Source organism: Homo sapiens, chromosome 14 (assembly GCF_000001405.40).
Source record: "Homo sapiens chromosome 14, GRCh38.p14 Primary Assembly".
Taxonomy (NCBI): domain Eukaryota; kingdom Metazoa; phylum Chordata; class Mammalia; order Primates; family Hominidae; genus Homo; species Homo sapiens.
This window is the reverse complement of record NC_000014.9, coordinates 43949031-43966825: the sequence shown is the minus strand read 5'-3', so window position 1 is coordinate 43966825 and position 17795 is coordinate 43949031. Positions and strand designations below refer to the sequence as shown.

The window sequence follows — 17795 nt, the reverse complement described above, 5'->3', positions numbered from 1 at the left end:
TTTGAAATTTTCGTTACGGAGGTCTTTTACCACCCCGGCTAGCTGTATTCCTAGTTATTTTGTGTCTTCTGTGTGTGACTGTTGTGAATGGGACTATGGTTTTGATTTGGCTCTCAGCTTGGATATTGTTGGTATATAGAAAAGCTGCTTATTTTTTGTACATTAAAAACCCTAGAAGACAACATAGGAAATACCATTCTGGACATAAGGTGTGACAAAGACTTTATAAGGATGAAGCCAAAAGCAACTGCAATGAAAACACAATTTGATAAGTGGGATCTAATTAAACTAAAGAGCTTCTGCACAGCAAAATAAACTGTCAACAGAGTAAACAGACAACCAACAGACTGGGAGAAAATATTTGCAATTTATGGATCCAACAAAGATTTAATATCCAGAATATGTAAGGAACTGAAACAAATCAACAAGCAAAAATCAAACAACCTCATTAAAAAGTGAGCAAAAACCATGAACAGACATTTCTCTAAAGAAGGCGTACACTCAACGAAGAAGAGTATGAAAAAATACTGAACACCACGAATCGTTAGAGAAATGCAAATAAAAACTACAATGAAATACCATCTCACACAAATTAGAATGGCTATTAATAAAATGTCAAAACGTAATAGATGCTGGTGAGGTTGTGGGGGAAAGAGAATGCTTACACCAATAGTGGGAATGTAAACCTATTCAGGCACTGTGGAAAGAAGTTTGGAGATTTCTTAAAGATCTAAAAACAGAGATACCATTCGACCCAGAAATCCAATTATTGGATATATACTCAAGGAATATAAGTCATCTTACGGTAAAGACATATGCGCACGTGTACATTGCAGCACTCTTGACAGCAGCACAGAAATGGAATCAACCTAAATGCCCATCAATGATAGACTGGATAAAGAAAATCTGGCAGATATACACCATGGAATATTAAGCATCCCTAAAAAGAATGGGATCATGTCATTTGAAGCAACTTGGATGGAGCTGGAGGTCATTATCCTACATGAGTAAATGCAGAAACAGAAAACCAAACACCACATCTTCTCACTTATAAGTGGGGGCTAAACACTGAGTGCACATGGACACAAAGAAGGGAACAACAGATGCCAGGGACTACTGGAGGGTGGAGGTAGAGAGGAGGGTGAGGATCAAAAAACTACCTATCTGTTACTATGCTTATTACCTGGGTGATGAAATAATCTATACACCAAATCCCTAAAACACACAATTTACCTACATAATAAACCCACACGTGTATCCTTTGAACCTGAAATAAAAGTTGAAAGAAAAAATGAACATTGTATTCAGATAGCTTGAGTAGTCACTGTTTTTATGCTATATAGATAAGCATTTAATAGAAATTATCCCTGACAATGTGTAGTTTGCAGTTGGGTAGTAAGCATAGGCTTATGTGTAATGTATTCTAATATTTGTTCAAAAATTAAAAGCTATTTAAACCATCTATTTGATTTGATGTTCTCCTCTCTAATTAAGTGGTAGTATCATTTTTAAATGTTCATACATATCAAGGATCTGTTTTTTTCCATTTTTTAGAGTAAGTATAGTTCAAATATATGATGCATTTAACGGTATAGTTCAAATATATGATACATTTAATGGAATTTACTTTATTAAGGCCCTCAGAATTATATAGTAGAAGATGCATTCTAGCAATCACAATTGTAAGAACAGGAAAGAAAGCTGTGCTTCCAACTGCGTTTTTAGAATTCTTTCAGGTACGCTTATGCTCTCAGTGTCTGTGGACCATGAGTAGTTGTATAGGTATGTGGGAAGAAAAAAAAATGTTCAAAGAAAGCTGTAAGTGGAAATGAAACCTTATTGATCTTCAGTAAGATTCTTTTTATTACAAACTTTTCCACTCTTCCAAAAATCTGAGCCAATTGAAGTGAATTCAGAAATGACATTTCTGGTGGGTTTGCTTTGTTCAGTAAGAATAACAAGTGAAAGCATTTCTACTAACCTAAGCTATAGAATGACATATTACCTTTTGTTGATATTGTGTTTTTACGTAGCATTGGAGATAAGCATTGTCCTATACTTCATGGGATATAATATAAACATATATGCTGGATGTGAAGAAATAAAATACCATAATGTTCATTCAATAATATTTATCAAACATCTATTATATGTATCACTTTATGAGTCAGGTATCTGAGGGGATACAAAGCTATCAAATCATAATCCTCAACTTCAAGAGCTTACATTAAATTAGAACTGACAAGGAACAATGGAAAAATAAGAAAGGGCTACTGATAAAATGTTTGTAGAAGTGGAGAGAGATTGCTTTTGTCTGAGAAATCTATTGAGCGATTAATAAAAAAATATGTAGATGTAGATATATATGAACTCTAAAAATATATATTATAAAAAGTACAATTGTTTGCAGTTTTTCTAGTGTAAAAATTGCAGCTTTATAATGTATATTTTCAGAAAACATACTGCATATTTTCAGTTAATAAGATATTAACAATTAATGAAATATTAATGAATAATGTTAATATGATTAACGATTTGTATGTTAATAGAGTTATTTACTGCATCATAATGTTTTCAGCATATTATCACATTTAAGTAACATAACCACTGTGCCTGTGTGACTGGCATTGTTTTTTTTCTCGCTCTCTTTTACAGGTAAGGAAAATGAAGCTCAATGAAGTCACATTCACAAAGTAGGAAAAAGCGTATGTGTCTCTTCATGCCAAATTTAGCATAATAGAACTGCTATGTGACCTTAGTTATGTTGCCAGTTTCCTTTATGATCAAATTTTCTCATCTGGATACTGGGGATGAAAACAGTAGTTGCCTCACAAAACAGTATATCAGTTAGGATACCTTCAACTACCAATACCAGAATGGTGGTTTAACTAACGTAGACATTGATTATTTTTCACTCCGATGGCTTAAAGATACATGGTTCTAGGTTTAACTCTGCAGCCCAACATCGTCATCATAGTCCCAGAGTTATTTTATCTGTTCACTGTGTCATTATCAGGGTGTTTATGACATCTTCCAGTCTGCCCACATAGAGCATCATACAAATCATACAAGCATCATGCCCATATACCTTGTAGGAAAGGGCTGTACTGCATATCATCCATTTGCTCTTTTGCTCTTCCAGATCCCCCCTCCCTTTTTATTTTTTATTTTTTTGGACACAGAGTCTCGCTCTGTCATCCAGACTGGAGTGCAGTGGCACAATCTTGGCTCACTGCAACCTCTGCCTCCTGGGTTCAAGCAATTTTCCCATCTCAGCCTCCCAAATAGCTGGGACTACAGGCACACACCACCACGCCTGACCGATTTTTGCACTGTTTAGTTGGGATTTCACCATGTTGACCAGGCTGGTCTCAAACTTCTGGGCTCAAGTGATCCGCTGCCTCAGCCTCCCAAAGTACTGGAATTACAGGCCTGAGCTACCACCTCTGGCCCCAGATCCTCTCTTGACCCTTCTCTACCCATTCTGTACCACAGGAGGGTGACTGGAATGGACTACTTCTAACTGTGACTGATTTCTGATTCATTTTAGCTAATGAAATCATGAGTTTAAAAGTAGAAAGGCAAGTGGTGTTGGGATATTTATTTCTCATTCCTTCCTCCTTGCCAGGTCATGTGGGTTGGATGTTAACAGCCCCCTCAACACAGCTATTCTTACCGGGAACTAAACACTGGGCCCTCCTTTGCTGCTTCACAGCAGCTCTTTTCTTGAAAACCTCCGGTTACTTCACTATCTCTTGTTCATAATAGATTATTTAAAAAACTATATTACTTACTATGCCAATGATTTTGTGCTACTTATACTGGGTTGTTCTATATCTATATATATCTATATCTATATAGTCTTAGAGGCTATTACTTAAGCAATTTCTTCTCAAATGATTCACAATTAAGAAGAGTTACCTAAATTCTCATAAAATAGCCATGAATAGACATAAGACAGTTTTACACCATTAGAAGCAGTAACAGGCAACCAAATTATAGAACCAGAGATAATTCACAGTTAACTATGAGATAGATTTATTCTGTATATACAGATAGATATAGATCTATCTATATCTTTCTATCAAAAGCCAGAGAGAGAGAGATAACTCCTGGAATTTATACTTCATAATATAAAATAAAGACCACCTAAAATGCAAAATGAGCTTTATCGTTATCCATCATTAGCCCTGTGATTCCAATCTTTAGGTCCTACACAAATTTAAAACTAGATTGCCCACCAACTTTTTTGAAGAGTAGCTTTATAAAGTAGAGTACTATTTAACTCATTCTAGTTGCCTTTAAAACTGGTAGCAACATACTTTTCTGTCCCTGTTTTAAACACTACTATTACCAGGCAAAAGCAACTTAGCAATTTGCGTTAAACAACTCTTGTTATCAGAAGACTGGGAAAAATAATTAAAATAGCATATTTTTTAAGTCCAAGAACTTGCTCATCATCAAGACTTGCTTCAAGACTCACCTTGCCACATCCACTAGGTTAAAGCTACTATCTTGTAAATTTCTTAACGATAACCAGTTTTATACCTTACAACATCCACCTTAAAGTCCTTCACTCCAGTCCTTAAGACCCCATGAGTGTACTCCCCTGACCTTACCCCTCTCAGTCACTACTAAGATTCAGTCAATATGGTGTTCTCTTTCATTGCAGTGGGTCTAATAAACTTAGTTTTGTGTGATCAATATTTTTTTCTGGTGAATTTTTGTGGGGGAGGGCATGGTGTCAATATTTGACAGCCTTCTCCTTACTCTAAGCAGTGCTAGCATCTTAGTCCACCAAGATGGAGACTGTAAATCCTAGAATAAAAGTGCACAAGAAGTAAGGATTTTGAGGGGTTGGATCAATACATTCTGTGGTTTTAGATTTTGTGAGTGGGTCAAGTACAGTAGGGAGTGTTGGTTAGAAAAATAACCAGTGTAGCAGTTTACATGTGTTTGAAAGTACAGGTTTTCATGTATTAACATTGTCTCAGAGCATCAAACCAAAAAGAGCTCAGGGATAGGATGAAAATACAACTCTAATATGTTTTACTAGAAAAAGAGAATCAGACTAAGATATGTGTACCTCAACCTGATTTCAAAGTGTAGATCTAAAAGAGGTACTAACCTACCCACTGAGTGGCATATAAACAGAGGGATCTGCAATACTCTTACACTTTTCTGACACATACCTATTGAGCTTAGATTCATATTAGTTAACAATAGAGAGGGGAGAAAAACACTAAATTTTTAAAAATGATATTGTTTCCGAAAAGATTAGCATATTAACACTGAAATCACCCAGAAAGTTTTAAAAATATAACAAAACACAGACATGTGAGCAGGGATTATGATTTAATTAATCTGGTTTAGGACCTACTTCCAATATGCAGCTAGGATGGAGAAATCCAGAGCTGGAACAGAGGTCAGCAAACTACAATTCATTGGGCCAGATAGATCCTATCACCTGTGTTTGCACAGCTCATAAGCTAAGAATATTTTTTAAAACTTTAAAGTGTTGAGGGGGAAGAGACTATTTCAGGGACACATAAATGTTATAAGAAATTCAAAGTTTAGTGTCAATTAATAAAGTTTTCTGAGGATGTAACCACTTTCATTTGTTTACCTATTGTCTGTGGTCACTTTTGAGTTAAAACGGCAGAGTTGAGTAGTTGAGACAGAGATTGTATGATCTGCAAAGCCTAAAATGTATAATTTATAGGACTTAACAGAAAATATTTGCAGATCTAGAAGATTCAGAGGAAAAGCATACCTCTAGGGAGGATCTACAGCATAATTCAGAATAAAATTTTGGAAAACTCATTGATGTATTAACACAGTATGACTTAACCGTTATACATTGATAACAAATTATGTGGAGAAAGACTACTAACTCATTATCAAAAGGCACAAAAGGGAAATAAAAAGAGAGGTGACTACATTAAGAAAGGCAGGTAAGTGAAATGCAATAGCAATGCTGGACATATTTCTGTCCATGCTTTGACATTAGCAAATCAAAATTTTACTCTTCCTCACTGTGGTTTCTGTTTTACAACAGTGGAAGTATAGAATAGGAAAACACAAACAGCAAAGACACATCCAGCTGGCAAACAAACATGTATTTTCTAATAAACCTGCTTCTGTTCAAGGTTCTAACATTCTGGAAGCTGAATCCAATGCCTGCATTGACATTCCTTGGGTCACTTACCTTATCCAACCACACCAGTTTGTATTTTGTGTGATCTGCATTAAAGTAATGTTATTAACTTGGTACGTCACTGCAGTTCGAAGTCATCATTTCAGCAGTAAACATGAATGCATTAGGCTGTTTAGGACCAGTTTTCACCAGCAACTCTCTGTGGCGCCCACAGATACAATGGCAGTGACTAGCAGGTCATGCAACAGTATAGATTAGGTTTTTGTCCTCTTCACATTTAGCAATGGATTTTCTAATTTGATAGTAAGCCTGCAAGTACATGGAAAATTTGAAGGTGGGGAGAAGCAAAAGACCTTATAAAACAGTAGATTCGCTCTTATTTTATAGAAATGTAACTTTAAGCAAATATTTTTTTTAAATTTCATTATTTTTATTTTTATTATACTTTAAGTTTTAGGGTACATGTGCACAACGTGCAGGTTAGTTGCATATGTATACGTGTGCCATGTTGGTGTGCTGTACCCATTAACTCGTCATTTAACATTAGGTATATTTCCTAATGCTATCCCTGCCCCCTCCCCACACCCCACAACAGAAGTTGGAAACCATCATTCTCAGCAAACTATTGCAAGGACAAAAAACCAAACACCACATGTTCTCACTCACAGGTGGGAATTGAACAATGAGAACACATGGACACAGAATGGGACAACCCATTCTGTAGGTTGTCTGTTTACTATGTTGATAGTTTCTTTCACTGTGCAGAAGCTCTTTAGTTTAATTTTTGACACCGGGGCAAATAATTTTTTAAAATGAAAAATATATAGCTATCTTTATATATGTTACTTCAATTGATGATAATTTATATATGCCATACTATATTGTAAAGTTTTTTTCTGTTTACCTCTTTGTCTGCTGTTATGAAAAAAGACTTAAATGAATATATAAAATATACATCTTTTGTAAATGCGTTTATGGATTGTAAAAATGAACAAATTGATTTTATCTATAAAAATGTATAGTTTAATTGAGACAAAACCATATATTTGATTTGATTTAATTTATAAGTTAAATTTTTTTAAAGTTTAGTGTTAAATTATAGTGTTTTTTCTGGCTGACTTCATTAAATGCCATAGCTGTATTTTCTTGTCAGCTATAATATTGAAACACATGAAAAGTGGAAAATTTGTATTTTATAATTCACAATGACTGCCTGATTATGAAACTATAAAGACTGTATTAATGTATTTCAAAAACCAATATTCTATGGAATATTGCCATGGAAAAGTAAAAGAATGATTGTCAGAGAAATGTTGGTATGACATTTTGTATAACTTTAGGTGATCTTTCAAAGAAAGTCTTACAAAGACTTTTATTCTAACACTAATTACTACTCACAATTATTAAATTTTGTAATGTTCTACATGAATATAGGCTAAAAATCCTGACTCTACAGGGTAGGAAATCATCTTACCACTATAATATTTTATTTTGATTTTTATTTTAAGTACAGGGGCCAAGTGCAGGTTTGTTATGTAGGTAAGCCTGTGTCATGAGGGTTTGTTGTACAGAATATCTTACCAGCCAGGTATTAAGCCTAGCACCCACTAGTTGTTTTTCTGGATCATTTCCCTCCTCCCAACCTCCACCCTACAAAAGGCCACATTGTGTATTCTTCCCATCTATGTGTTCTCATCATTTAGCTCCCACCTCAAGCAAGAATATACAGTATTTGGTTTTCTGTTACTGTATTAGTTTGCTGAGGATAATGGCCTCCAGCTCCATCCACATTCCTGCAAAGGACATGATTTTGTTCATTTTATGGCTGCATAGTATTCCATGGTGTATAGGTACCACATTTTCTTTATCCAGTCTATCATTGATGGGAATTTAGGTTGATTGCATGTCTTTGCTATTGTGAATAGTGCTGCCATGAACATATATGGGCATTTATCTTTATGCTAGAATGATTTCTATTCCTTTGGATATATACCCGGTAATGGGATTGCTGGGTCCAATGGTAGTTTTGTCTTTAGGTCTATGACGAATTCCAGTGGCTGAACTAATTTGACTCTCTCCAACAGTGTACAAATCTTCCTTTTTCTCCACAACCTCACTCTCATCTATTATTTTTTGACTTTTTAATAAAAGCCATTCTGACTAGTATGAAATGGCCTCACATTGTGGTTTTGATTTGCATTTCTCCAATGATCAGTGATGTTGTGCTTTTTCTCACATGTTTGTTGGCCATATATTTATCTTCTTTTAAAAAGTGTGTTCATATCTCTTACCCACTTTTTAATGGGGTTGTTTGTTTTTTTCTTATAAATATGTTTAAGTTTCTTACAGATCCTGGATATTAGACCGTTGTTGGATGAATAGTTTGTAAAAATTTTATCCCATTTTGTTGGTTGTCTGTTTACTATGTTGATAGTTTCTTTCACTGTGCAGAAACTCTTTAGTTTAATTAGATCCCATTTGTCAATTTTTTCTTTTATTGCAATTGCTTTCAGCATCTTCATCATGAAATCTTTGCCCATGCCTATGTCCCGAATGGTATTGCCTAGGTTGTCTTCCAGGGTTTTTATAGTTTTAGGTTTTATATTTATGTCTTTAATCCATCGAGAGTTGGGTTTTGTATATGGCGTAAGGAAGGGGTGCAATTTCAATCCTCTATATATGGCTAATCAGTTATCCCAGCACCATTTATTAAATAGGGAACTCTTTCACAATTGCTTGCTTTTGTCAGATTTACTGAAGATCAGATAGTGTAAGTGTGCATCTTATTCCTGGGTTCTCTATTCTGTTCCATTGGTCTATGTGTCTGTTCTTGTTCAAGTACCATGGGGTTTTGGTTCCATACTAATTTTAAAATTGTATGTTCTAGTTCTGTGAAAAATGTCAATGGTAGTTTAATGGGAATAGCATTGAATCTGTAAATTGTTTTGGGCAGTATAGCCATTTTAATGATATTGATTCTTCCTATCTAAGAGCATTGATTTTTTTTTTCCATTTCTTTGTGTCATCTCTGATTTCTTTGAGCACTGGTTTGTAGTTCTCCTGTAGAGATCTTTCATATCTCTAGTTAGCTGTATTCCAAGGTATTTTATTCATTTTTGCGGCAATTGTGAATGGGAGTTCATTCCTGATTTGGCTCTCAGTTTTACTATTATTGGTGTATAGGAATGCTAGTAATTTGTGCAAATCGATTTTGTATCCTGAGACTTTGCTGAATTTGTTTATCAGTTTAAGAAGCTTTTGGGGCCGGGCTTTTTTTTAAGAAGCTTTTGGTGGCTCACGCCTGTAATTCCAGCACTTTGGGAGGCCTAGGCAGGGAGATCTCGAGGTCGGGAGATTGAGATCGTCCTGGCTAATACGGTGAAATCCCGTCTCTACTAAAAATACAAAAAATTAGCCGAGCGTGGTGGCAGGTACCTGTAATCTCAGCTACTCGGGAGGCTGAGGCAGAGGAATCGCTTGAACCCAGGAGGGTGGAGGTTGCAGTGAGCCAAGATTGCACCACTGCACTCCAGCCTGAGTCCTGGGTGACAGAGCGAGACTCCATCTCAAAAAAAAAAAAGAAAAAGAAGAAGCTTTTGTGCTGAAACTACGTGGTTTTCTACACGGAATATCATATGATCTACAAACAGAGATAGTTTGACTCCCTCTCTTTCTATTTGAATGCCCTTTATTTCTCCTCTTGACTGATTGCCCTAGCCGAAACTTCCAATACCATGTTGAATAGGAGTGGTGAGAGAGGGCATTCTTGTCTTGTGCTTGTCTTGGTCTTCACGTGGAATGCTTCCAACTTTTGCTCATTCACTATAATGTTGGCTGTGGATTTATCATAGATGGCTCTTATTACTTTGAGGTCTGTTCCTTCAATACCTAGTTTATTGAGGTTTTCAAAATGAATGGATATTGAATTTTATCGAAAGGCTTCTCTGTAACTATTGAGAAAATCATGTGATTTTTGTCTTTAGTTCTGTTTATGTGCTGAATCACATTTATTGATTTGAATATGTTGAACCAGGCTTGCATCCTGGGGCTAGAGCCTACTTGATCATGGTGGGTAAGCTTTTTGATGTTTTCCTGGATTTGGCTTGCCAGTATTTGGTTTAGGATTTTCACATAGATGTTCATAATGGATATTGGCCAACTTCTTTTTTTGTTGTATCTCTGCCAGATTTGGGTATCAGGACGATCCTGGCCTCACAGAATGAGTAAGGAAGGAGTCCCTTCTCCTCAATTTTTTGGAATCGTTTCAGTAGGAATGGTATCAGCTCTTCTTTGTACATCTGATAGAATACAGCTGTGAATCCATCTGGTCCTGGGCCTTTTTTGGTTGGTAGGCTATTTATTAGTGCCTCAATTTCAGAACTTATTATTGGTCTATTGAGGGATTCAATTTCTTTCTGGTTCAATCATGGGAAGGTGTATGTGTCCAGGAGTTTATCCATTTCTTCTAGGTTTTCTAGTTTATGTGCATATAGGTGTTCATAATATTCTCTGTTGGTTGTTTGCATTTCTGTGGTGTCAGTGGTAATATCTCCCTTATCATGTCTGATTGTATTTATAACATAGCACTAAATGTAATTAAACATTGATGGCAATTATCGATATATGCAATAAAAATAATTTAAAAGTCTTGGATTTTTGCTACTGGGTTATAGTTGAGCTTTTTTCCCAATGTATTTTAGAAATATAAGCCTTCAAATCAAAGAAAATTCCAATGTAATAATAAAAAAAATTCACAACAACCTTAGAATATGACTCAAGTAATTAGTACCAAAAATAGCTAGGTAGGTCTCTACTAAAAATACAAAAAAATTAGCCAGGCGTGATGGCGGGCACCTGTGATCCCAGCTACTCAGGAGGCTGAGGCAGGAGAATGGCGTGAACCTGAGAGGTGGAGGTTGTAGTGAGCCGAGATCGCGCCACTGCACTCCAGCCTGGGCAACAGAGAGAGACTCTGTCTCAAAAAAAAAAAAAAAAAAAGCTAGGTAGGATAAAGAAGAAAAATCTGGCTATCATTTATATATGTAAAAACATGAGAAGTTTTAAATCATATTCTTAAGTTAAATTTCACTGCTTTTGGAATATAGTCTCTAAATTGAAAACAATAGCCATGAATATTTTAGGCAAATTTCAATATTTAAATATTAAATTACAGAATGAATTTATATACTTTATTTATTTGTTTGCTTGTTTGTTTATTGGGGGTAAATCCTTACATTCTATTTTCAAAGACAGGTTTGTAAGTGAGGATTTTGTCTTTCACAACTTTTGCTGACCTTATTCTTTCCATTTGTGGGCGTTTGAACATTACTATTTCATAATACCAAAGTGTAAAATATTTACACTGCTTCATTTCACACAACTATTTTTTTAAGATGCTTCAGAAATGCTCTGGTGCTAATGTTTCCTGGAATGCTCACTACAGATATAGAACTATTGCTTTAAATAGATTATTGAGAATTCTCTTTGATCATATAAATTATACACATTTCATTATACAATTTTAAGTTAAATGTTTTAGAAATTAAGTTATCCTTCATGCAATCCGTAATATGCTGTAAAATTATCACTACAAACCCTAAAATATTTCACATATTTATATTTTGTGAAATCTAAGTTGCAATCTATAAGAAAAGCCATTCTTTTATGTATCAAAAAGAACAGTAAATCTATTATATAAGAATCATGAATATAAGATTCTACCATTTATAGAGATGTTAAAATGTAAAAAAAAACCCTGTGTCTTAAAAGTTTTGACTATAAAAATAAAATATTTTATCAATATTTTAGTTATGACCTACTTGGCTGAAAAATATATCATCTTCAATATTTGTTTAGCAACTTTATTTTTTAATTCATGTGCTTTATTTTTTATTTATTCTGAATTTTTGATTAGCATCATATGTTACTTCTTATATGTTAAAGCAAGCTCATATTATCTTCAGCTCTACCATAATAATCAGTTTCTTTCAACAGGCCTCTTATTGATGGAAATGCAGGGTTTATCCTTTAGTTAGAACTGTGTTTTCATGTATCTGATAAATGTATGCAATGGTAAAGCAAGAGCCTTTCTATGAAAATCATGTTATATTTAAAACTGTTAAGTGCTGAATGGTGGCTTTAAATATGACTCAAATTGGCCCCCTCTGTAAGTAAAGTTCTGATAAACAGGCAGAATTAACCATATACAATGTATTTAATTTGGTTATAAATTGAGTAGCATCCAGGCGTGATCTAACCATTTCGTCAGCAGCATAGCAACTATGTCATTTCTGCATTATACCCAGAAAGGCAATTCGTATTCTAAAATAAGATGAAAAAAATTATTGATAAATTCAGGGTATTCCAAATAGAGAGATCTAACAAATACATATGTGCATCCGTGACCTATAAATCACTGTGCTGCTAAAACTAGACTCCCCAGCCTCATGGAGCGTACAAGTTTATAAGATGGAGAGCATTTTGAAAGAATGGTGAGAGAAGGGAATTGAAATTTTCTGGAAAAGAAAATTCATTTTGGAAAGTGATAGGCTATTATATTCTAGTGATAGATGGGGTGAAGAGAGAGATTCCAACTGGGTTTTATCTTATAGTAATGATTAGAAGTTTTTGAGCATGAAGTTGAAACAAAAAAAAGGAAGTCTTTGGGAATGTAGCAATGTTTAAGAAAACCATGAACTATTGTGTGGTTCAGGTCTAAGATAATGAGTTTGGCATAAGGAAGTAGAGATGAGTAGGAAAAGAAAAACTTTAATTTAATAGTTATTTGAAAAAAGCTTTGTAGAATTTTAAGACAAGTAAATTATATTAAGACACTCTAATATATTTGACGAGGTAGTCAACAAACATTTATAGAATTTATCCTGGTTTGCCATTTTCTTCACAATACACAGCAAAATCCTCACTGAGAAATATAACCTTTTCTTTTGTGTTATTGGAGTGAAGAACAGTTACAATATATTCTGTATTTTAATATTTTTAAAAGGTATCTCAATATCTTTTGTTTGTAATTTCACTACAATTTTAAAGATATAAGTATTATCCTGTGATAAATCTATCAACAGAACAGCTTATGGCTTGTGATAAAAATTTAGAGTAAGCATAAGACAAAATTATGTCTGGACTGGGAGCTAAAAACTCCACTTGTGTTATACAAAGTTGAGAATTTAAAGCAAGCTTGACTCATAAGATCTTTAAACTATAAGTAGTGATGATGAGGCTGTCAGTGGAAAAGACTAGCACATATAAAAATATCCCTGCTTCAATATTATTTCTATTGTCAAAATGGGATTTATAAAAATGTTCATTTATGACCAATTACTTACAAATCACATCTTCTTGGTAAAATAGCAACTTAAATTTTCATTAACAAATGACTAAATCAGAATTAGAACTAAAATCCATTTGCATTTTTCAAACCATATTGGGGTAGTTCATGTGGTGGCCACAAACCAACCCCAAATCTTTGTAGCCTGGAACAAGGGTATACTTCTTGCTCACACTGAATATTCATTTTGACTTTGTTGGTGTTCTGTTTTATGTTAAGCTCACTCATGGAAGCCAACTGAGTCATCATAAAGAGCAGCTGTCATTATGGAACTTGGAAAGAGCAGAAGAATCATGCACTGTTTCCTAAAAACTTCTGTCTAAAAATGACACCTATCAAATCCACATGTAGCATTTGTCTAAAATCAGAGCAAGCTCCAGGGCACAGCATATTCATTCTCCATTAATAGCAAACCGCTTTTATTCATACAGGTCTTAGAGTACAGACAACTTTCGTTAGATTTGTTATATAAATGGCCTAAAGATGGCCAATTCATATTACTCCCTATGTTGTTTACTTCCTCACAGCAATTGAAGACTGGGAGCAAATAGCCAGCCAGCACTAAACTCAAATCCCTACACATCTAGTTGCTTTAAATATAGTCCCATTTAAAATGTGTTTATCCATTTAGCACCTGCCTGCTTTTCATAATCTGCGAAACTGCACCCAACATCTGCTGGCCATAGATTAGACAAAATCTGTAGCTGTAAATGACCCCGAACCACTGCTGCCTTTCAGAGCTCTCTGATCCAGAGACTCCCCACCTTGCTGCTGAATGACATGACCTGTCTCCCTTTTCCTGGGAGTTGTCCTCCCCACTTCCCTTTCAGGATGGTGGCCCCATTCCACTATCTCTGAAAGGTCTCCCAACAAAGTTTGGGTAAGATAATGTTATTTTGTGTTTATTTTCCTTGATTGTCCACAGATACTCAAATACTCAAGCTCATCACAAGATTCTCTTACTTTACCTTGAAATTTAGGCACCCCTTGCACACCTGAGTCATGATGGAGGTCTCCCTCAGATCTTCTGTCATACTAGTAGTAGTACTCCCAAGCAGTCTATGGAAGACTGTGGAAGAGAGTTGGTAAGCAGGTACAGAGTCTCCTTGTTTCTGGGATCTCAGGGATTTTAAACTTTCATACTAGCCACTAGCCTCCACTTCATCTTTAACAATGCTAAAAATTCCTTCTTATTTGTCTCTATGTGGCTATCTCTTCCTTTCATACGCTACCAAGGTGAAACAATCTATATGACTGATCTCAGTGGAGAGAAGCAAGACACCTTTTGGGTTTCATTTCATTATTTGCTTTGTTTTCTCAGCTCTCTGATGGATTAAACAAATATGGTTTTATAGATTATCCAAGTTTTTCTTGTTGTTAAGGTTATTAATATTTGATTTTTCTCTACTTCCAAAGAAGAAGTAGAAATAATTCTAGATTTTAATTTGATTTAGTAGTTGAAATGACTGTTTCTATGACTGTGAGATGAATGTGCTGTTCTTTGAGCACTAATGCTGAACAACTTACTAGTTGCGTCTTTTGATTTAGAAATCATACCGTAAATTTCTTATACTTAAATGTACACATTGTAACTTTTGAAAGAAGAGCTTGTGATTGTTTGGGTTAGCAAACTATTTTAAAGCTAATATTTATCCATTTACTTTATGGATACCATTTACTTTATGCTCAGGAATAATATACCATTTACTTTATGCTCAGGAATAATAACAAAAGAAAACTTACAGGGTAGATACCCAGTTTTATGGTTGAGGAAACTTATGTCAACATGTGGTAAATTAGACTTTAAACTAGGGCTTTGAAACTCCAAAGACGATTACTAAATTATCCTGTCTCAAATCATAATAAAAATAAAATTATGATGTCCCAATATAATAGTTTACTATAACCCATACTTTAAAAAAGTATCTTTTAAATTACATAAAGAAACCAGAAAATCAAGTATAAATTGATGGTTCATCATTATTCTCATTTATAGCACATATATTTCATTCATAAATATATATTTACATTATATATTTGAGTTATTGTATATGTACATTTTAATTTTAATTTAGTATAATTTTATTTCCACAAGTATATAAAGCTCCAAATTTAACAAATTTATTTAAAAAATCATAGCTAATAATGACATTCCATTGCAATATCAGTGATACACAAGAATTATTCTTGAAGATAGAGATATCACTAGGCAGTTGCTGCTGTGCGTGTGCATAGCATTGACACTAAAGCCAATCTTGTAGAGTTAGAAGAGTTAATGTATCACTGAAAAAACAGCAATCTGCCTTAAACTCAGGCAACTATTTCTATGTGTGTGACCTTGTAAGAAAAGTCAGCATTTTAATCAGGGTAACTATAAAGTCACCCAAATTTTGAAGTTTCAGTGGGAAAGTAGAAATTAGTTAGCTTAAAAAGGCACAACTAATTTTTGGAAGTCTTTATATTAAATAAGATCACCAAAATCCTTCTTTTAGGTAATCTTACAGGATAGTGGTTTTTCAACATTTGAATAATTACACATTTAGTGTTTAGATAAGGGAATTTTTCTACATAGGAAAACAGATGGTATCTTACACTATAGTCATATTTTAACATTAAAATTACTAAAATAATGAAAGTCAAAGACCAAAACTTATTTGCAATAATGATTATTTCTGTATTGATCTGTTGTTTGATATTTAGATAAATTAAAAATTTATAGAACAGAGCCCATGTAAATATCCCACGCATTGTTGCTCATGTTATATACTTACAAAAAAAACCCATATAGCAATTTGTGGTGAAATTCTAAAGTCACAGATGGAAATTCTCTTATTTCTTGAATAGCAATTTGATTCCAATGTTGGAATTTTACAATTTCAAGTGAATACAATTTAATTGTTTTAAAATGCTGTCTCACAAAATTAATCTATTCAAACTTAGCCAAATATACTGCTACAAATATGTTCTTGTCTGGCTTCATATATGGAAACAAACCATACACGTAGATATTTTCTAGCCAGTTTCTGCTGGCATATGGGAAATTTATGACTTTACATGTTGTGTAGCTATACTTGATGTTCTTGAGTTTTTTCGGGCTATAATAAGAATAATATTTTTGGTAACTCTCTTACTTCATCTTTCCCTATTTCTCAACCTGCTTCTCTGTTTGCTTGCAATTCACAATTTGGGAATCTGTGAAAGGAACAGAGCAAATCTCTTGTGGAGAAGGGGCTGGGGCTGTGACAAATGAGAAATTCCTGAGGTCAGGAAGAATAAGTAGGAATAAGAGTTACAAGTGTTCATACTGTTTTCTTCAGCAGGCTGATTTGGTCGTTGGACTGAAGATTGCTGCAAACATGCCCTGATATGCTGTTAGGACCAGTGTGTCACATAATCCAAATATGTATTGTGGAAAAGAGTTTATGGGATAGAGGCAGGAGGGACAAATAGACACTTGTGGACTGATCTCCTCTTTAAAGTCAGGGGTTTTGCTAAATAGATAGAAGGGGAAGAAGAAAAAAAGCATTCTTTCCCAGCTCCTATGTAGAATACTAGCACGAGTGCCCTGCTGGGAAAATTTGGACAATAGTGGCACAGGGAAATGTGCAAGACAAAGACTTAAGTAGAACTTCTCACTCCACATGTCTTAGTATTCCACATAGAGAATCAGGAAACAGTCACATTACCGTTAGGGGACAGGAATTTGCTAAGAGAACTCGTGGACCAACAGAGGCTTGAAGTTGGAACAAAGGGGCTTTTCTCTTGCAAAGAGAGATACACAGCTGGGAACATATACATAAGTAGTGGATAGTGACACATTGGTCCTAACAGCATATCAGGACTTGTTTGCAGCAATCCCCAGTCCAATAACCAGATCAGCATGCTGCAGAAAATAGTATGGACCCTTGTAGCTCCCATTTTTCCTCCCAGTTATGGAATTATTTATGCTACTTACTCTTACAAATACAACCAGGTGTCCTCTTGGAGAGGGGGAGTTGGGTAGTATTTACCTTACAGAGGCTGAATTTTCCAAAGGAGAGCCTTTAAACTAGACAAAACTTTAAGTTTCCAATGTTGAAGCTCAAAATGTTCTTCTCTGATACCCAACAGGAAAAGTGCTTACTTGAAAGATTTGATTTAATTTGTCATAGAATACAAGGTACAGTATTTTTTTTTTAACTTTTTTTGTTCATTTGAGTCCTAGAGAGAAAAATATTCTTCTCTATTAATAGTAATATCGGATCATTTACCTATTTTATAATTTTTTCTCTGTTCCAGTATATACACTTATTT

At 34.5% G+C, this 17795-nt stretch overlaps 2 annotated features.

Annotated features, from left to right (window-relative positions):
- Positions 15453-15622: an enhancer, noted in NCBI's record as "experimental_34039 CRE fragment used in MPRA reporter constructs". NCBI's record gives its function as "activates a minimal promoter by MPRAs in K562 erythroleukemia cells, with activity observed for both the introgressed and non-introgressed 14:44420492 variant alleles {active_cell/tissue: K562}" and the evidence as "EXISTENCE:reporter gene assay evidence [ECO:0000049][PMID:34662402]".
- Positions 16959-17469: an enhancer, noted in NCBI's record as "NANOG hESC enhancer chr14:44418560-44419070 (GRCh37/hg19 assembly coordinates)". NCBI's record gives its function as "activates a minimal SCP1, AML or CMV promoter by ChIP-STARR-seq in naive H9 embryonic stem cells {active_cell/tissue: H9 hESC(naive)}" and the evidence as "EXISTENCE:reporter gene assay evidence [ECO:0000049][PMID:30033119]".